General features: G+C 48.4%; 1 protein-coding gene across 11 annotated transcripts in view, besides 2 other annotated features; it reads left to right on the top strand.

Moving 5' to 3' along the window:
• The window catches only part of KAZN (kazrin, periplakin interacting protein), a 1,225,220-nt gene that overhangs the window by 862,973 nt on the left and 341,486 nt on the right, over positions 1-20,761 (top strand). The gene's annotated exons all lie outside the window — the stretch shown is intronic.
• Positions 6,372-6,872: an enhancer, noted in NCBI's record as "H3K4me1 hESC enhancer chr1:15088664-15089164 (GRCh37/hg19 assembly coordinates)". NCBI's record gives its function as "activates a minimal SCP1, AML or CMV promoter by ChIP-STARR-seq in naive H9 embryonic stem cells {active_cell/tissue: H9 hESC(naive)}" and the evidence as "EXISTENCE:reporter gene assay evidence [ECO:0000049][PMID:30033119]".
• Positions 6,873-7,373: an enhancer, noted in NCBI's record as "H3K4me1 hESC enhancer chr1:15089165-15089665 (GRCh37/hg19 assembly coordinates)". NCBI's record gives its function as "activates a minimal SCP1, AML or CMV promoter by ChIP-STARR-seq in naive H9 embryonic stem cells {active_cell/tissue: H9 hESC(naive)}" and the evidence as "EXISTENCE:reporter gene assay evidence [ECO:0000049][PMID:30033119]".

Genomic DNA, 20,761 nt, shown 5'->3' on the forward strand with positions numbered 1-20,761 from the left:
GCACTGGCCAAGTGGAGTGAACATTCCGGGGAATTCACCCACTTAGGAGAAACCTGGAGAATTAGCAGGCACACAAAGCCACCTCTTGACTGGAAGCAGATGCCTTGAAGTCTCCCAGACGCCCCACAGGCTGCAAAGGAAGTTGGCCACAGAGCTGACCTGTGTCTAGAATGGTACCAAGGACTCTGCACAAACTTGAGAGGCCCTGTCCACTGCAGGGGAGGAGAAGAGGCATGGAGGGAAGTCAGCCTCTGCAGACACGGTACTTCCTGCCTTCTGCTAGTTGCCATGGCTTTGTTCCTCATAACAAGCCCATCACAAGCCCTGACAAAGCTCATGGTGTGGCTCAGTGATAGAAACCAGCTGGCCCAGGTATTTCTGACACCAGAGCCATGGTCTTCAGCATCTGAGCGGACATCCTGCTCTCAGCAGAGCCCACTGGAGGCTCTTCCTCATCAATTAAGCCTGTCTGTTCATCCTCCATCTTTGACTTGCTCTCGATTTCCTTCCATCTAATGGATTCCTTACTCTGAGACAAGCACGCCCCGGCAAGAGGTCTGGAAAGCCAGCTCTAGTCTTCTGTCAGCCCCCCTGCAAAAATGGCATTTGTCTGATACCGGGTGTCCCTGCAAATGTGATTGTCACTCCAGCACATCTCTGCGGATGAGCAGGAGGTGGAAGTGGCCATTACTGGTGCCACTGACAAAGTGTCAAACCAGGATCTTGCCCCATAAGTGCCTTCCTTATCAATTGATTTCTCATTGAAATATCCTGCAGTAAAATTCAGTAGTGGGTGCACCGTGGAAATAGAGCCTGTTTCATTGGATGTAGCACTGTTTATAAGGCAGCCTCGGACACCACTAGGTTCTGAAATGAAACCAGAGCAGCCTAACTTCATCTCTTCAACTCCCCAGGTCTGGGCATTGTGAATATACCAGGCATTGTGAATATAAAGAAGGGAACTTGTAGGTTTTGAATGTCTTCTTACTAAAGAGTTTGTTGAAAGAAGAACAATTAATCTCTTTGTCTTAACTGGCTTGGCCACATTTCAGTGCTGGAAAGAGGAGAAAAAAAAGCAACAGAACAAAACCTTTTGTATTTCTGCCAGCAGAAGGTAACGGAGAGGCTCGTCATTTTGTGGACATTTTTGATTAAGTGTCCCTTTACCTTTTAATTTGTGCATTCGGGTTTCAGATCTTCTGCGGCAAGAGGGAGAAATTGTTGCACATTGTCACACCTCATTTGTCTGCCACAGGGTTGTGAAACTTCAGCATCCAAGCTCAGAAGTTTGCAGAGAAAGGATTTCAAGGCCAGTGACTCTGCTCTGGATGACTTACAACTTAAACATCACCTAGCCTTGTTCTTCTGCTCCCAAGTGTCCACAGGAAATTAATAGTTACAATATATGGTTTTTTTCAGTGTTCACAAAGTGTACTCTGGCACTATGTGGGACAAAGAATTATGCATCAGCTCAGCCCATAGTTCTCAACACCTGCCTGCTCCTGCTTTCTCTTTAGTATCTCATTTCTGAGCAATGGCTGAAGAAAGGCAGCTGGCTACTGAAACCGGAAGGAAAGATTGGAATGTACTGGAAAGAACAAAGGAATTACAATCTAAGGACTGGGTTGGTTCAAGTCCCAGCTCTTCCACATACTAGCTCTGTGACCTTGGGCGATTTAGTCAACCCTTCTGAGCTTTAGTTTCCTCATCAGTAAAATGGCAACAGTAGCAACCACCTCCTAGAGTTTTATAGGGAAAAACAGATACAATTTATGGAGAGTGTGTAGTGAAGTACATTAGACACTGTTGGTACTTTTATGATATGGAGGAGAGTCCAGGAATCAAAACTGCTGCTTTTTAGGAAAACTATTTGGCTAAAATCAATAGTTTGTCGCAGTAGTCCCCTGGCACTGTGATGTCATGTGGTGGGGAATCAAGATCTCTCCCATGGGCTCAAGGATCTCTTCTGATGCCTTCTCATGGGAGCACCTTCTACATCTTGCGTATGGATTAAGAATTCATTTTCCTGATTGTCCAGTCTAATTGTTTATAGAACCTGTCGCCACTATTTGCTTTCTGTTTAAGAAGACTGAAGGAAGAGAAGGGAGGGAGGAAAGAGAGAGGGAGGAATACGTTTTGGTTAACAGTGACCCCATTGCATTGACTGGGATGTGTGGCAGGCTGAATTCCAAGTCCACACACCCTGGAATGGCATTTTGCATCCATGCTGTTGCCACAGCCACAACACAGGTAGATGGAATGGACTTCACTGCCTCTTGACTTTGTTTGTTTGTTTGTTTGTTTGTTTCTTTGTTTTGTTTTGTTTTTTCTCTCTTTCCTTCCCTCCTTCCTCCCTTCCTCCCTCCCTCCCTCCATTCCTTCCTTCCTTGACAGGCTCTTGCTTTGTCACCCAGGCTAGAGTGTAATGGTGCCATTATACCTCACTGCAGCCTCAACCTCCTGGGCTCAAGCGATCCTCCCACCTCAGCCTCCTGAACAGCTGAGACTACAGGCACACAGCACCACACCCAACTAATATTTATTTATTTATTTATTTTTAGAGTTGGGGTCTTGCCGTGTTGCCCAGGCTGGTCTCAACCTTCTGAGCTCAAGTGATGCTTCTACCTCAGCCTCTGTAGTAGCTGGGATTACAGGCATGTGGCATCAGGACCAGCTAATTTTTTAATTTTTTTTTTTAAGAGATGAGAGTTTCACTATGTTGCCCAGGCAGGTCTTTAACTCCTGGGCTTAAGCAATCCTCCCACCTTGGCCCCCCAAAATGCTGGGATTACAGGCATGAGCCACCACAATGCCCTCTCTTGACTTTAGCTTTGTGACTTGCCTTGGCCAATGCGATACTAGCTGATGTGAAGCAGGCAGCAGCTTGGATGAGCTTGGGGTGTTGAATGTGCTTTTTGACCTCTCTGCTCTCCCAATGCTTGTGCCTCCATTCTTGGGATGGGTTGGGAAGCAGTGAGAGCGATTAGAACCTCTGGGGAGATGGGGATGCTGAGGGCCTGTTTTGCCTTTCAGATGATGAAAAGATCTGGCTTTGCATGGGTTACTCTTCTGGGTCTGAAAATCTTTCTTGAGCTGGGTCATTTGAATCCAGAAAAAAAAAAATGAAAGAGAAAGCATGAAAGTAAGAGAGCTGGAGAAAGAGGAGAGAGAGAGGAAGAGAGAGGCAGACTTTATTCCACCAGTTCACCTGGACCAGGAATTAGTCCTAAGCTAACCTAGGCTACCCTGGACAATGAAGGGGATTTTAAGAAGGGAGGGAGGATTCTCTTGGAGATTAACTTTGGGCTTTGGCCTAGTTGAGTCTTGTTAGACTTTAAATAAAAATCCGTGGGGGAGGGGCACACACAGGGCAGCCACGGCAGGAGCTCGCGTTCCTATCTCAGCCTGGCTGTGCCAAAGCCTGACATTTCTTGTTCTGATAATTGATGTGGCCAAGTTGAAGCTTGTCACCGTGAGAGCATCGCACCGTGGCTTTGGTAGTGCCGTGGCTATGTGAAGAGTGAGAAAAATCAATTTCCACTGTCCACGGAAGGTTGTTTGATTTATTACTGTTGGAAGAAGAAATTCTTTATCTCCCACCCCCTGTTGGAGAGCACTGTTTTACAGTCTGCTGTTAGAGAGGCTCTATAAAAGCAGCTATATTTGTGCAAATTTTGGTATTTTGATAACCTTCCTTGACTATTCAGAGGACATTGAACATTCCCAATTTTTATAACCCTCATTTGTTTTTGATTAAGCAATTATAGGCACTAAAAGACAGTCTGCAAGAGAGTGTGGCCAGCGTACCTGCAGGATTATTTCATGCCATAGGAAGCATCAGACGGCTTTAATATTTCATGACCACTGGCAGGAGGAAGGAGGGGTTTGCTAGGAAAGAGCAGAGGATGCGATCTGGAGTCAGACGGGGATTGGGATCCCAACTGCCATTGGAGAACAGGTCGGTGTCCATGAGCCTCAGTTTCCTTATCTGAACAATGAGTATGTGTAGCAGACAATACCGTCCAGATCCTCTTAGATCCCTTCAAGCCTTTTCTTGTGCACCACGCTTGCCTGCCTTGGTGTGCTTCTGATTTCAGCATCCTGCATTGTGGCTCCTCTTCCAGGACTCTCCCTTTGCCTCCCGGCCTCCGAGAACTTAAGTACCTGGGAATTAATGTCCCCTCAGGGCAGCCCCTCCTCCCGTGACTGACCCACCTGTGAGTTTGAAAGCAGCGCTCCCTTGCCTCACCTCAGGACACACCCCGAGGTGTAACTTACATTCCAGGTGGGTGTAACTTACACTCCAAGTTGGTTCAGGCTGAGGTTCCCCCAGGCACAACTTTGCCTGAAACCAACCAATGCTCGCCTGGCTTCCCTTCCTTCCCCAACCCTCTTCCCACCCCCATTACTGGAAGACTTCTTTAATACATCACTTGGGCCCAAATCCTCGTCTCAGGCTCTGCTTCTGAGAAACGCCCCCAAGATAGTAGACTGGTGCTCCTTGCCAATGTTTTTACAAATTGTTTCATTAACTTTTATTCAGCACTTCAATGTGCCAGGCGTGGAATTAAATGGTTGAAGTGCGTTATCTCTTTTAAGGTTGTGATGATAAAATAAGGTCTAAGGAGGTACTTTGCACAGTGACAAACACATAGCAGCAACTCGGCACTCGCTGGCCCAGTTTGAACATGATTGGGCTGCAATGTGGTGAGAGGACTCAGGGCAATCCAGCAGCCTCCTCTCTCTCTCCTTCGTCCCCTCCTGCCCCTTCCAAATTTTTCTCCACACAGCAGCCAGAGTAGTCTTTTAAAACATATCAATCCAATATGTAAGACCCTCTGGTGGCTACTTGATTGCACATAGATATAAAATTCAGGCCAGGTGTGGTAGCTTATGCCTGTAATCCCAGCATTTTGGGAGGCCAAAGTGGGAGGATTGCTTGAGCCTAGGAGTTTGAGCCCAGCCTGGACAACATAGCAAGACCTCGTCTCTACAAATAAAATAAAACCCAAACTTCCTAACAATGGGGCTTAGCAAACTTTTTTCTATAGAGGGCCAGATAGTAAATACATTACACTTTGTGGACCTTACAGTCTTTGTAGCAGTTGAAGACCTCTGCCCTTCTAGCACTGAGGCAGCCATAGACAATATGAAAACAAATGGACGTGGCTGTTTTCCAATAAAACTTTATTCATAAAGACAGGCAGCGGGCCAGATTTGGCCCACAGACAGTAATTCGGTGAACACTGGTCTACAAAACAACTGAATGGGGAGGACCCTGCCTCCCTCACCAGCCACCAGTCTCATTCTGACCCACTCCTCTCCCCAGTCATTTGCTCCTGCCGCACTGGCTGGAGAATCCCAGCATTTTCCTGCAGCAGGCTAGGTCTGTGCCTACCGTTCCCTCTGTCTGGGTCCAGGAATCTCTTCCTGGAGCCCCCTGCCTTGCTGGCTCCTGCTCATCACTCAAGTGTCAGTTCAAATGCCAAATCCTGCCTCTTCAAAGAGGCATTCAAGAGCCTGCAGATCTACTATGTCTCCTCCCCCAAGCCCCTCTGTTCTCTATCACCTCAGTCATTAATTTATTCCCCTAGTCACCTGTTTGGGTTCTGCCCACCCTTTTGGAAAACAAGCTTCAACACTGATTCAGCATTGATCAGCAGCATCCTCAGCCCGTAGCACAGGGCCCAGCACCTAGCAGGTGCACAATGAGTGTTTGTTGATTAAATGGTCTCTGGGGATCCTCCCGCCCTACTGCCCCCAACCACTGTCTTCTGTAAGAAGAGTTTTTGAACCACGGAAAACATTAGAATTTCAAGTGATTATCTTGGTTGTAAAGCAAACCTACAAAACCCTAAATAATCTTCCTTTCTTCTCCTTCCCTGTCAATTATGCAGTTAAACGGAACATCTCACAGGGGGATTTGCCTGAGCAACCCTCACTTTTCTTTTCTCAGTTCCAAGCCTAAGACTGCAGACCTCCATTTTCAAGGCTAAAAACACCAAGAGGAAGGTGCTGTCTGAACGTGGCACTGAGATTACCCAGTTAATTAAAGAGGGATTTAGGAGTTACTTAACATCTGGGTGGCAGAGTCTTTTTTTTTTTTTTTTTCTACTCAGCTTCAAAAAGGAAGCAGAAATCGTAATATGCCAACTCTGGCTCTAACAGATGCATCCTGTGTGTGACGTGATCCTGCAGCAAGGCAAACCTCTTCTTCCCTGGGTTCCTTGGCTCCAAAGCATCTGATGCTTTTCATAAGGACACCTGTGACCTGCTTGGCAAAGCAAGCTCTGTGTCCTCAGGATGACGGTGGTTCCAGAAGTGCTTTGGTAACCGCTCCTTTTATTATGTCATACTTGAGGGCAGTGATTCTTGAACAGCAGACATTGCCAGAGGGCCAAGGGACTTTGAGAGGTGGTCAGAGACATGGCCGCCATTCGATGGGGAAGGGCCTTGAATGCTATGCCAAGGAATGTGAGCCGTATCCTGGCCAGGGAGTGTTGAGAATTTGACCCCAGGGATGATGTTTGGTAGTAGCCATGAAGGAGGAAGGTGGTAGCCAGCAGCCCAAGTTGGAGCTTGTTCTAGGGCTTCAGGTAGCAGGTGGTGGGACCTTCCTGGCATGGTGGCATCAAGAAAGAAGAAGAGGCCGGGTGCGGTGGCTCACGCCAGTAATCCCAGCACTTTGGGAGGCCGAGGTGGGAGGATCATGAGGTCAGGAAATCGAGACCATCCTGGCTAACATGGTGAAACCCCGTCTCTACTAAAAATACAAAAAATTAGCCAGTCGCGGTGGCAGGCGCCTGTAGTCCCAGCTACTCGGGAGGCTGAGGCAGGAGAATGGCGTGAACCCGGGAGGCGGAGCTGGCAGTGAGCTGAGATCGCGCCACTGCACTCTAGCCTGGGTGACAGAGCAAGACTCTGTCTCAAAAAAAAAAAAAGAAAGAAGAAGAGAAGCAACTAAGTTCAGATGGCTTCTCCACCCCACAGGGGCCATGGGCCAGACGGAGGCAGGCTGTGGCCTCAGCACTGGGAACTTGCACTTTGTTCAGTGCTGATGGCAACAATAATAATAATAATAATACCTACTTCTATGGGTTATTGAGATAGAAGGTGCCTTTATTTAACTTATTTGTAACAAGTCTTTTGTGAACTTTTAAACACTCATCCGGTGACATTTCTGTAATGCTTCATTCAAATAAAGACATTCATAACTTGGCAGTCTGTGAGCTTTCAAAGGACTTTCTCCTCATCCTGTTTTGACACCGAATCTTGGTCTTAGGATGGCTGTTGAGTAGCTCTGATAGGCAAAGTGAGAGGTATGGTGTGGCCAATAAAGTAGTCATGCCAGTAGGCCAACAGCAGGCAAGAGCTGCCATTAGGAATGGGAGAGGGACCATTCTGCATGCTGAAGGCAGGATTCATGTGAATGACAGCAGTCGTACCATACAGCAACTAGTTGAGGAGCTGTTTCCGTCTCAGGCAAGCCCAGAGAACAGATGCTTGCAAGGAATTCCTCTTTCACTGTGTGTATGGTTTTGGTTGCAAGCATCCCACTTTGGCTGGGTTAGAATGTCCTCCAGGATCCCACTCACCTGTGTTCTTGACCGGCCAGGGCCCCTGAGGATAAAGCGAGCACCTAAATCAATACCCCCAATAACATTTGTACCCAGCTACACCATAGGAGAGAACAGAATTAGAGCCTTGCGTTGCCACCCCTGCCTCCCCTTGGAGTTTCACGCAAAGGCATTGTTCTTCTGGGGCCTGATTTCAATTGCAGTGAGCTCGGAATGATGCTTTAATCCTCTGTAATTACTCAAGGCAGGAATCAGGCTAATGAACAAATATAAATGGACAACTGGCCTTTTCCTTTGGAGTAGGAATGGATATCCTCCAATTATGATCCTTTGCCTAAGGGGGAGATGGGATGTAGGTATTGATACTTGTTTTATTTTATGTTATTTTTTATTTGAGATGGAGTCTTGCTCTGTTGCCCAGGCTGCAGTGCAATGGCACGATCTTGGCTCTCTGCAACTTCCGCCTCCCAGGTTCAAGTGATTCTCCTGCCTCAGCCTCCCAAGTAGCTGGGGTTACAGGCACGTGCCACCACACCCAGCTAATTTTTGTATGTTAGTAGAAACAGGGTTTCAACATGTTGGCCAGGATGGTGTCCAACTCCTGACCTCAAGTGATCCACCCATCTCGGCCTCCCAAAGTGCTGAGATTACAGGCTTGAGCCACCACACCCAGCTTGCTACTCATTTTAAATTAATGTACTTGTTTACCTTCTTGCGAGTCAAATACATCACAGTCCCCAGGTGATGGTTCTCATTTACAATTTGGTAGGTGGGCCTCCTGGGAAAGACCGGCAGGAGGGTAGAATCCACATTCCCGGGGCACTGAGGGCTGGGACCTCAGGCCTTTGCATGGGCTGTACTTTCTGCTTCGGGCAACCTCCCTTCAGAGGCCCCCACAGCTGAATCCTTACTTCTTCAGGTCTTGGCTCAACTGTCCCCTTCCCAATAAGCCTTCTCCTGATCACGATCACCCTATTTAAAATTACAAACCACTCCCGACCCCCTCCCCCACACCCCCCCCACAATGTGGGCATTCCTTCCCTGTTCCTTTTTTTCCCAACCTTCTAACATGATATACGATTTACTGATTTATTCATCATATTCTTTGTTATCCGCCGCCCCTCTGCCCCCCCATAGAACGTAAGCTTTTTAACAAGTCTTTTCTCACAGGTAGATACGGTTGCCTGTTTTGTTGACCCATGTATCTTAAATGCCTGGAGCTCATACCAGGCACTCAGTAAACCTTAGTAGAACAAATGGATGAAGAAATGAAGAGTTGGAGGGAGGGAATTGAAGGAGTGCAGGACAGGAAGGCTCTAAGAAAGGTGTCACCATCCTTGAGGACAGTCACCCTGAGAGACCAGATCTGGACTTGCTCTGGCACCAGGCTGGGTATAGAAACAGGCAGAGGCCAGAGGGAAGGATTCTAGTTTCATGAGTGCCTATCCTATGCCAGTAAAACTGTGGGTGCTTTCTCTGGGTTATGATCTTCAATCCCCACAAGAGTGCTGCATACTGGATGTTATCGTTCTTATTTTATAGGTAAGGAAATGAGATTCAGAGAAGCCACATACTGCCTAGGGCTATGGTGAGTAGCAGAACCAGGCTTGGAACCCAGTTTTCTAAATTATTTCATCTGTTCTTTAAGTACAAGTTTGATCTCCTCCTCCAGGCTCCAAGACTAGTGCTTCTCTCTCCACGATGCCGGGCTCATCAGCCGCAGCACTGTTGGTGTTTGGGACTGGATCATTCTTGGTTGTGGGGGGCTGTCCTGTGCATGGTAGGGTGCTCAACAGCATCCCTGGCCTCTACCCACCAGATGCCAGTATCATTCTCCCCATAGTATGACAACCAAAAATGTCTCCAGACATTGCCAAGTACCTCCTTGGAGACAAGGTCACCCTCAGTTGCAAACCACTGCTGTAGATGAAATAGAAGCAGTTCTCATTGGCCCTGAGAACCTTCAGAGAAGTAAGAAAGAGTTGTTGTTAGGGCCATCAGCTGGCCCGGCAGCCAGGGCCTCTTGTGTTGTCTTACTCTGGGGAAGGTATAGCCCAGTCTGGGGTATGGTCCTTGTCCCCCAGATCTAGAACTTGCCCCTCAGAGGTGGGGTTTCAATTGAATTGTGTTAGTGTGGACCATTTGAGAAGCAGCTAAGGTGGAATTTGGTGTGCAGATGTATTGGGAGAAATGCCTGCAAAGGACATAGGAGAGACAGGGAGAGCCTTCAGACAGGGATGTGGGGCTGGTGCCTGCGAATGGAGAAGGGGAAGGAAGGAGTGTTGGTAGAAAGAGCCCCAGATCTCAGCGCAGCTCAGAGAGTGCCTCAGCCAGGCTGATGGGGAGTCCTCAAGCCAAAGTCACCTGTTAGAGGAATGGGCTGCACTCATAATTTTTGACAGGAACAACCCAGGAGAACTGTGGTCTTGGTGGAACACAGGAGTGGCTGCCGAAAGGAGGCAGCTGAGCTGGCAGTCCATTGTGCTCAGGCAGCAGGCAATCTGGGTGACCCGCTGATGACACTCACACCAGAAGCCCGTCTGTGCTGAAGCAAATCAGCGCCAGCACTGCCAGCCATTGGCATCTGTCGAAGGGTGTGTCTGTGTTGTCTCAGTCTGGTGCCCACAAAAGCCAACCTTGAGATGATGACTCAAGGGCACATGCATGTTTTGAGGAGGTGACGCCCATGAAACTCCAGTAGGTGAATAGGATAGTGAGACAGGAGAGGAAAACAGACAGTAGGGGGATATATGAGAGCGAGCTGCCACCGTGGGCAACTGGAGCCAGTCCTGTGGGAGCTCCAGAAACTACAGGACACGGGTATGTCTGGAGGTTTTCCAGTTGAGGGTCAAAGGAGCTGGGGTCTTCACCTGCCAACTCCCTAGTCACAGCTCCTGGGCTGCCTGAGTGGACATGGATGCTGGCAGCTGGAAGTTGCCCCCAGTTGCACCATAATGGTAAGACCATTTGGCATCCCACATGCCCCAAGCACTCACTGAGCTGCCCCAGAGGCTGGGAAAAGGCCTCGGGCAGAGCCACCAGTGTTTGCAAAAAACAGAGCTCGGTGCCTGGAAGCCAGGGAAGAGATGCCGGCTGGCACACTGCAGGAAGAGAAAAGAAAGAAAAATATGGTAATCCTAGTATATTACAGAGCATATAATCAAAACCTATTGCCTGGTGCTCTGGATCACAGAGAGGGGCCTTGGGGAGGTGGCTTGGTTCCGCATGTTAACTGAGCATCTAGTATGCACTGGGCGGTGTGTGGGAAGACAAAGATGCTGAGGGCCAGTCCTCCCCCTGTTGGAGCTCACAGTCCAGTGGCATCGGCAAGTGCCAACATTTATCCCACGATGGGAGGCAGTGTAGCGCACTGTTGCCACTAACCACTCTGAACTTCAGTCTCTTCATCATAAACTGGAGATACCACTGGTTCCTCTTAGAATCACTGGGAGGACTCTATGAGATGGTATCCTCAAGTGTCTCTCCCATGCGTTCACATACAGTAAACATTCAGTGCCCTTTAGCTATCGTTCAAGCTATTGGAGCTACAACAGAGAAATATATGTGGTCTAGGGGAAAATAAGGGCTGGAGGGACCAAATCAATGGTGGGGAGTGGGACGAGATGGATGTCAGAGAAGGCTTCTCTGAAGATCTCTGCCCTGGTGCTGAATCTTAGCTGAGAAGGAATTATGGATCCTGATCAGCAGCGAATGGGTACGCTTTCTGTGTTTTCCTTTGGATTTTACAGACCGTGATGATTGAGGTTGGTTAAGGGTTAAACATCCCGTAAGCATTTCTACTGGGCTAGTTACTGTGGGGAAGGTTAGGATTAAGGAGAACTTCAGAGTGATTTGCCTGACAATAGCAGCCTTCTTATCTGCCCACAGTTGAAAATTCCCACCATTTATTGGAGCCTGTTCTGTTTTTCACCTGAGCTGAAGGCTGGGAGTGGGAGGGGCTCCTCTGCAAATCCACAGCTGCAGAACAACAGGTCATGACAGCTTTATCTTTAAGGCCAATACCAAGAGAACCAGAGAAGCCAAAAAGAGATAACTTTGAATCCCACGGGGCAAGAATGCACCAAGCCTTTTTTTCCCAGGGGATTTTATTTAGCTGATAGGCAAAGTCTGAAGACTGGGTGCTTTCCCCATTGGAAGAACTCAATAAAGTATTTTGACTCAGTGCAAAGCCAAAATACCATCCCTAGGTCAAAGAGCTGGACTTGGAAGCCTGTTCCTCCTGGGAAGCCAGCTTGGAAGAGTTTCTTCGAGCAGCCAGACACCATAGGAAAGACCTCTATAGATGAATCTGCTGTGGATGAGTGTCCTATCCACAGACCTTTCTTAGTTTGGTCCCTGCGGCCTGCAGCCATGGGAGGGCTCAGTGGAGACTGGATGACAGGAGCAGGCACCACTTGGCTGACATTGAAAAGGCCTTAACAGTTGATGTCTGAGGGTGACCACCTGAAAAGAGGACCTTGAGCTGCCAGAATGTGGAATACAGGACTGCAGAGGGGAAAATAAGTGTCATTTTCATTCCAGAGAATATTACCGAGGTGCCTGCAAAGTTCAATCTTCCTTTCCAAGCCTTTTATTCAAACTAAGGGCCAGGTTCAGGCACAGAAGGAGCACCTACGAGCTTTAGCTTTGATTTGGTCTTAATGCACGCGTATGTCGCCGTCGAGATTTACATATTTCTTAATGACCAGAAAGCAACAATTAGAAAGTCCAAGATCAACTCTCACTACGGTATGAATTTCTTCATCTGAGCATTTTTGTAAGAAGCATGGATTCCTACTATAATCACAATAAAACAATAAAGATAGAAAAAAAGATCTGGGAAAGAGGACTCTATTTATATGACTATTTTGAGACTATAGTTATTTGTTATAAATGAATTTGTGAAAATACTAATAAGACTAGTATTTGTGGAGCACTTCTTGTGAGCCAGGCATCTCATGTGCCAAGATCAATATAGTTTTGTAACAACTCTGTGATGTTGTCGGGGAAGGTAGAATCAGCTTCATTTGATGCGTGTGGAAACGGAGGCTTGGAGAGTTTAAGTATCAAGAACTCGTGGTTAAATCAATGCTGCCTTAGGATGTGTTGCCTAAGACTGAATCCCTGCAGTAAAATGCAAGACAAATGAGATTCAAACAGACGTAAGATTTCAAGTGGTCTCCACTTCCACTCTCCAAGGTCTCCCAGCCCTCCCTATTTTTCTTGTGACCCCCTGGAGTGAGGGCACAGTTTGAGCATTTGCTATTAGATCCTCAAGAATAACAGCAGTTTCTTACTGAACTGTCAATAATCCTAGAGCTCACAGAATACCAACTCCAATGCCCATGGAAACCTGGCAGGTAGTGTAGGCCAGTGAGGCTGATTATGAGTAATGACTCAAAGGAGAGAACTTGCCTCATCCAAAGTAATCAGTTTCCACCAGTTCCAGTCAGTCACAGTCCTGTGTGGCCAAATGGTTTGCTTTTCAAGGGAAGCCGGAGATTCGCGCCATGTGAAATGTCCCAATTTTTCAATCATCAGAAATTCATTCAAAATTTTAAAAAGTACCATCACATTGGGTTGAATTTGACCAGTGTGCAGCTACCTCTTCCCTAGAGCATTGCAGAATTCTTCACAGCTAGTTGACTTTCCGTAAAAGCTTCTGAGTTAATGAGTGAATTAATTACCAGGCAAAGAGCCCATTTGAAGGCTCAACCCTTTAGAGCTCCCTTTGCTGTCCATTCACAGTGGTTGGAGCCAAGCCCATCAAGGCCAGCAGCAGGAAGCAGAGCACCTTTGAGTCTGACCCTGTCATCAGTCCTTCACTCTGATAAGCTTGGCGTGCTAGTTTCCATGGACTTTTGCTTGGGTTAGGATCATCAATGTCACCCCCATCTGAATTGCAGAACCACGTTATTGGCTTTTGGAAAGTCCCCTGAGTGTAGGGAACTATACCTTGGTCAGATTTTTCACCCTTGCAGGTCTTTTTTCTTTTCTTGAGACGGAGTCGTGCTCTCGTTGCCCAGGCTGGAGTGCGACGGCGCTATCTTGGCTCACTGCAACCTCTGCCTCCCGGGTTCAAGCGATTCTCGTGCCTCATTCTCCTGAGTATCTGGGATTACAGGCGCCCACCACCACGCCCGGCTAATTTTGTATTTTTAGTAGAGACAGGGTTTCACCATGTTGGCCAGACTAGTTTCAAACTTATGACCTCAGGTGATCCACCTGCCTCAGCCTCCCAAAGTCCTGGGATTACAGGCGTGAGCCACCGTGCCCGGCCTGCCCTTCCAGGTCTTACCAACAGAGGGCTCTTGATTAGTGTCTAAGTGATTGCGGGAAATTAACACTGGTCCTTCATTCGTTCATTTAGTCAGCAAACATGGATTGACCATCCTCTGTGTGCTGCCAATGAGATTCCAGTGATAAATTACAGACCTGTTGGTTGCTTACAATATGACGGGATAGGTAGATGTTGACGAAGTAACTGAGTATTCTGGGTTTGGGACCGGGCTATAGGATCCTAAGTGTAGGAGTGTAACTCAGCTCAGAGATCAGGGATGGCCCCTCTGAGCAGGTGATGGGTAAACTGAACCCTGGAGGTTGAGCAGGGATAAAGCCAAGTGAACAGTGGGAGCAGGATGTGCAAAGGTCCTGAGGTAGAGTGAACCAGGACCTCAGAGAATAGTCCAGGGTGGCTGGAGCCAAGAAATCATGGGAAAGAGTGGATGGGTCAAGCTAGAGACATGGTTGGGGTCCGGATCACTCTGCAGTTGGCCATGGTGAAAGTTTGGACTTCAGCCTAAGGAAAAGAGAAAGCCATAGAAGGTTTTAAACAGGCATGGTGCCTGATGATTTGCATCCTAAAAGATCTCTCTAGCTACAGTGTGGAGAACTGATAGGATGGTCAACAGTCAATGGGGAATCTCATTTTGAAGCTAATGTATGTAGCCAGGCAAGAAGGAGGATGGTAGCTTGGACCAGGATGCTGTGATAGAGAACGGATAATGCCAGGGATATATGAAATACTCAACAGGTAGAATCAGTGTAACTGGGTTGTTGATTGACTATGAGGGATGAGGGCAAGGGGGATGGCTGTTTCGAGAAACTGTAAGGAGGTGATACTATTTGCTAAGATAAGGAACACGGGTGGTTCTGTGGCTGTACAATTCTTTGAGCCATCAGTTAGACTATGTGTGAATATCTTCCCCAGGGCCATACACCACGGCAGCCCTGGGAGGAAGAGTGGGAATGGGATTGGGGGCTGGAGAAACAAATTTAGCCTGGAGTTTAACAAAGAAACTAGCAAAATATCTCCAAAGTCCCATTTGTCATTCTTAATAGCCATCATACAAAAAGTGGTCAAAGTTAGGAAATTGAATTTTCAAACACGTTAGGCCTTAAAAAGAAACAGGCCTCTGATGTTAAGAGAGAAACATGCATTTTCAATTGTTCAGAGATTACTAAATGGAAACAGTTCTCTTCCCCTCCCCCAAACAGAAGCAGGAATTAACTTTGAGGCTGGAAAATGTCAATTTACTGAGAAAGGAGGGTAAGGGGAACAGGGAGACATCGAGACCACATGTCCCAGCTCCTCATCCCACAGGTGTTCCCATGTTCAGTTGAGCTCACGATGACTGGATCTGCCCAAATTCGGGACACCCATCCATGTGATCTTACCCTTCCCGCCATCCCCAGTGTGGGAGGAGGGTGCGGGGTGAGCAGGAATCCCACCCAGAATGATTCGCTGTGATCATTGCCATATGAACAATATGCTATCACAGAGAAGGAGGGCCCCGAGGAAGAAAGAATTTTTTTAAATGCCTAATAAAGGGGTAGAAGTACTGCCCCGAACTCCTGTAAAAGCATGTTCCAAGGAGAGATGAGATCAAGGATATAAAATTGTTCTGGTTTTGAAAACAAAGATGCCAAGACAGTAGGCAGCATCTCTGGGTTGCAGGATACTCAAGGAGGTAGAGAAAGAAGGAATGGCTAATATTTCTAAGATGACAAAAATATTTAATGTGGTGGAGGATGGAAAACCTTGATCGGGTCCTAATGAGTCTAAATCAGACTTTCTCTGAGTCTTTGAATATTTCCCTTCTCATCTTGCACTTGGCATTTTTCTCAATGAGGGTGTCCCTTTTGGTTGGGGAACAAGAGTCTAGGATAGGCCTGGGCGAGGTGGCTTACACCTGTAATCCCAGCACTTTGGGAGGCCAAGGCGGGCAAATCACCTGAGGTCATGAGTTTGAGACCAGCCTGACCAACATGGTGAAACCCCGTCTCTACTAAAAATACAAAAATTAGCCAGGCCTGGTGGCAGGTGCCTCTAATCCTAGCTACTCGTGTGGCTGAGGCAGGAGAATTGCTTGAACCCGGGAGGCGGAGGTTGCAGTGAGCCAAGACCGTGCCATTGCACTCCAGCCTGGGTGACAGAGGGAGACTGTCTCAAAAATAAATAAATAATAAAAATAAATGCCTAATAAAGGGGTAGAAATACTGCCCCAAACTCCTGTAAAGAATGTTCCAAGGAGAGATGAGATCAAGGATATGAAATTGTTCTGATTTTGAAGACAAAGATTCCAAGACAGCAGGCAGCATCTCTGGGCTGCAGGAGACTTAAGGAGGTAGAGAAAGAAGAAATTGGTGCTCTTTCTAAGATGACAAAAAAATTTAATCTGGTGGAGGATGGAAGACCTTGATCGGGTCCTAATGGGTCTATCTCAGGCTTTCTCTGAGTCTTTGAATGTTTCCCTTCTCATCTTGCATTTGGCATTTTTCTCAATGAGGGTGTCCCTTCTGGTTGGGGAACAAGAGTCTAGGATGGGCCTGGGTGCGGTGGCTCACGCCTGTAATCCTGGCACTTTGGGAGGCCGAGGCAGGAGGATCGCTTGAGCCCAGGAGTTTGAGACCAGCCTGGGCAACATAGTAAGACCCCTGTCTCTATAAAAAATTTAACAATTAGCCAGGAGTGGTGGCATGCACCTGTGGTCCCAGCTCCTCAGGAGGCTGAGGTGGGAGAATCCCTTGAGCCCAAGAGTTTGAGGCTGCAGTGAGCTATGACTGCACCATGACATTCTAGCCTGGGTGACAGAGTGAGATCCTGCACCACCACCCCTGCCCCAATCACCTAATACGTTTAATAGATTGAGAAAAAAAAAAAAAAGAGACCCCTCTTGGATCTAAGTGAAGAAGTGAGCTTGTGATGAATGTTTGTTGACTGAGCAATGACAGAGGATCACAGCACCCTTGACCTGCCAGGTCACCTGATCTTCTCACAGAGACACAGGTGGCTCCCGATTCAGACAATATTTGAAGCCCTGAAAAGCCTTTGCTGCATTTCCACGAATATCTAGAGTGGGCTGGAGACCCCTTCCCCGAGGGTCCGCTATTTCTAACCATGGATTGATCTTAAGAGCACCAAGGCCTAGCTCTGAAGGTCACATTCCTCAACACAGACCTTTCTCTACCAAGAAAGAGAAAGCTGAGAATTTTCCCCCAGAATTTTCCACTGGGGCACACCACATTGGCCTTCTGTGTGCTTGGGTTTCCCGTGCCTGGGGTGTGAGGGGCCCAGGCAGCTTCTGCGCAGTTGAGTCATCTCTCTTCCATGGTTCCCCACCAGCCAAGAGAATGGTATGAATGTCCACAGGCGGCCTCTTCATGGGGGTCTCAGGAAATGGGCATTTGAGGGTCAGGTGGGTGACCCTAGTCCCCCACAAAGGTAGCATCTGGTGGAGAGAAAAGGTTGCCCTCTCCTGCATGTGGAAGAAGCTTGGCAAGATTAGAGGTGCCTGCTCCTTTTGGAGCCTTTCACAATTATCTTCAGGACAAAGACGGCCCCAACACTTCCGGAAGAGATCTGATACTGAGATCCCGCTAGTCATGGGGTGAGCTACAGTGGGACTGTGGCACACAGTGGTGGCCTGGCGTATGAGAAGACCACCCCCCACCCAATCCACCTCCCACCTCACCTGCCCACGATGCCATTGCTTCAAATGGCTTTCAACAACGCCCTCCACTCCACGGGGTCTCCCTTCTTGTAGCATTTTCAACTCTGCCTCAAATCAACTCTGCACTAAGGTGTGAAACGTAAACACCCCCGAGGGAGGAAGGCCCTTCCAGAGTGGTCACTGGGAGGCAAAAGGGCCTGGCTTCCCCGAATCTCAGCTTCCTCATCTGAGATGGTGGAAAAGATGATGTTGACTTTCCAGAGCCATAGGGAGTTGGAAATGAGGTCAGGCACCCGCCACCCGGTTCTCCTTCTTCCTCTTCTAAAACACTGCAACCACCATAGCCAGTGCCTCTATGCAGCCGGTTACCCATTGGCGTCACTTAGCCTGGCAGTGCTGCTAATGAGGCCTCTGTGGCCTGGGCTTCCGGGGCTGCCATCTCTAATGAACTCAGCCTTCCTGGGAGCTGCGGCAGGTCCCAGCCCAGGCCAGGCCTGCTCTCCTCCCCTCCCCTCCAAAGAAAACACCATCTTTCCAGGACTGATGGCACTGAGGGAAGCTTGAAGGAAACAGGCAGGGAAGACCTGTCAACACTAATTAGAAAAAAGTGGTTCTCACCGCCAAAGCCCTCCAGCCCATGGCTGCTGCCAACCAAGGCGCCCTTGTGGGCTGTTCACCTGAGCTGCCGCCATTTTCAACTCTGCATTAAGTCATCCAAGGATCCAGGAGACCCAACGCTAGCAAAAGACCCCACATGCTTTCTTTTCCAGCACCGATAGCTCTTACCTCTTCCCTAAGCCTCGACTTCTCTTTCTCTTCTCTCTCACCCCTGTGTCCCCAAGAGGCAGTCTGGGGGTGAAACTGGTCTTAGAGTCTGATAGAAAGTAGAACTCCAGCTCTGTGGTCCCGGATTTGTGGACTTGGCAGGGTCGCCTCTGTGGGCCTCACTTCTTTTCTCTGTAAAATGGGATCATAATGCCAACCCCACAGGCTCATTAGGGGGATTCGAAAGCCCCTTTCCCAGTGCCCTGAACATACAGAAACTCAGCAAACAAATGGTTCTCCGCTTATCTCCTCCCTTTCCCCTTCTCACACCCACACTCACCCTCACAATGCCTACCTTTTCTTGGTTCTTGAACAGATTTTTTTTTTTTTTTTTTTTGAGACAAGATCTCGCTGTGTCACCCAGGCTGGAGTGCAGTGGTGCAATCATAGCTCACTGTAACCTTGACCTCCTGGGCTCAGGCCATCCTCCCATCTCAGCCTCCCAAGTAGTTGGGACTACAGGCATGCATCACCACACCTGGCTAATTTTTTGTTAACATTTTAAAATTTTTTAGAAGAGATCAGTTCTCACTATGCTGCCCAGGCTGGTCTTGAACTCCTGACCTCAAGTGATCCTCCCACCGTGGCCTCCCAAAGTGCTGGGACTGCAGGTGTAAGTCACCATGCCCAGCCCTTGAGCAGATTTTTTTATCTTATCTCTGATCCTGTAAGTCAGGACCTGCTGCCTCCAAGTCCGTGGTACATCATCTACCTGTGGAAAGTTCCCTGACATCCCCTGCCATTGTCCCTTCTCCTTCGTTCACCTTACGGTATCGATTGAGAGCCCATGGAATATCCAGCACTTGATTGATCAAAAGCAGACACGGTCCTGCCCTCATGGAGCTCCCAGGCCTGGGAAAGGCAGATCCTGGAGAGAGCAGCTGTATCCCACCATACCAGGGCCCACCCACACTCTGCACCTAAGAGGCTCACGGGTGTTTACAATAGACAGTGCTTGGTGCATAAATCACCTCGTTTGACCCTCAGCAGCCTGGGACATTGGCAACCAGGTATGATCCCATTTTACAGATGCAGAGAGTGAGGGCCAAAGGGTTGGTTTTCTCCTCCATGTTCTGTGGCCTCCGACATCAGAGTCTTTAGTAATGTGTGTCTTTGTTTCCAACACAGTAGCACAGAAGTGGCTTTAATAGCAGCTCATTCTAGGCAGTCACTGTGCTAAGGGTTTTATGAGCATTCTGTTGTTCCAGCGTCATGCTTCCCCTGGAGGAAATAAATGCTGTTCCTTCGTCAGGTTTGATGAAGACACTGAGGAGGTTAATTAACATGTCCATGACTACCCAGCTGGTGAGCATGGGGCCCTCAGAGATGATCCAGGTCAGCCTTGGCGTCCACGCCTTGTGATGTGGACACAGGAGAAGGTAGATCATGAGAACCTGGGCTCCTGACACAAGCTCAGTGGGCAGACAGAAGCTGAGAGGAAGGTGGCTCCGAGGGGAATATGAGGACGTAAAACATGCGCCATGCTGCTCGCCACACTTCCTCAACGTGCGCCATGCTGCTCATCACATTTCCTCTTGAGAAGCTACCGATTTAGCCTTAGGCTCATAGCATCTATCTTGAAGCAGGAGAAAGGGGCAGGTGGGAATTCATTGTGTTCATAAGATACATGTCAGCCAGAGAGGCTGCAAAAGCTCAAGTGTCCTGAGACCACAGAGCACGTCCTCCTAAAGGGAGGGTCCGGGCCACCGGGTCCAGTCTTTACACTTGAAGGCGTCACAGGCCCTTTCCTACAGCGGTCGACACCCAGGTCTCTTCCACATGGAACCACCATAGTGAGTGTGGTCCTGCGTGATCACTGCGACCCTCTCCTGGACTTCCACTGTGGGGTTTATTTTTTATTTTATTTTATTTTTCTGAGACAGAGTCTTGCTCTGACGCCCAGGCTGGAGTGCAATGGCGCGATCTCAGCTCACTGCAACTTCTGCCTCCTAGATTCAAGCGATTCTCCTGCCTCAGCCTCCCAAGTAGCTGGGATTACAGGCTACCACGCCTGGCTAATTTTTGTATTTTTAGTAGAGACAGGGTTTCACCGTGTTGGCCAGGCTAGTCTTGAACTCCTGACCTCAGGTGATCTGCCCGCTTCGGCCTCCCAAAGTGCTGGGATTACAGGCGTGAGCCACTGCACCTGGACTCCGTTGTGGGATTTAGGAAGTGGGGCCAAGGAATAGTAACGCAGGTGGGCATACCTCATGCTTCCCTGTAGGTGGCACAGAGTGCTATGCCCACCAAAGGCACATGACCCAGACCCCTGTCCTTGGGATCTGCCCTCACTGCATCCACTGCACCCAACTAAGCGCTCTTCATCCAGGCTGGACACAAGGTCTCCTTCAAATACCTCTTCTTCTTATACTGTTGAACTTTAAGGTGCTGTCCGAGATGTCTAAC

Source organism: Homo sapiens, chromosome 1 (genome assembly GCF_000001405.40).
Source record: "Homo sapiens chromosome 1, GRCh38.p14 Primary Assembly".
In the NCBI taxonomy this organism is placed as follows: domain Eukaryota; kingdom Metazoa; phylum Chordata; class Mammalia; order Primates; family Hominidae; genus Homo; species Homo sapiens.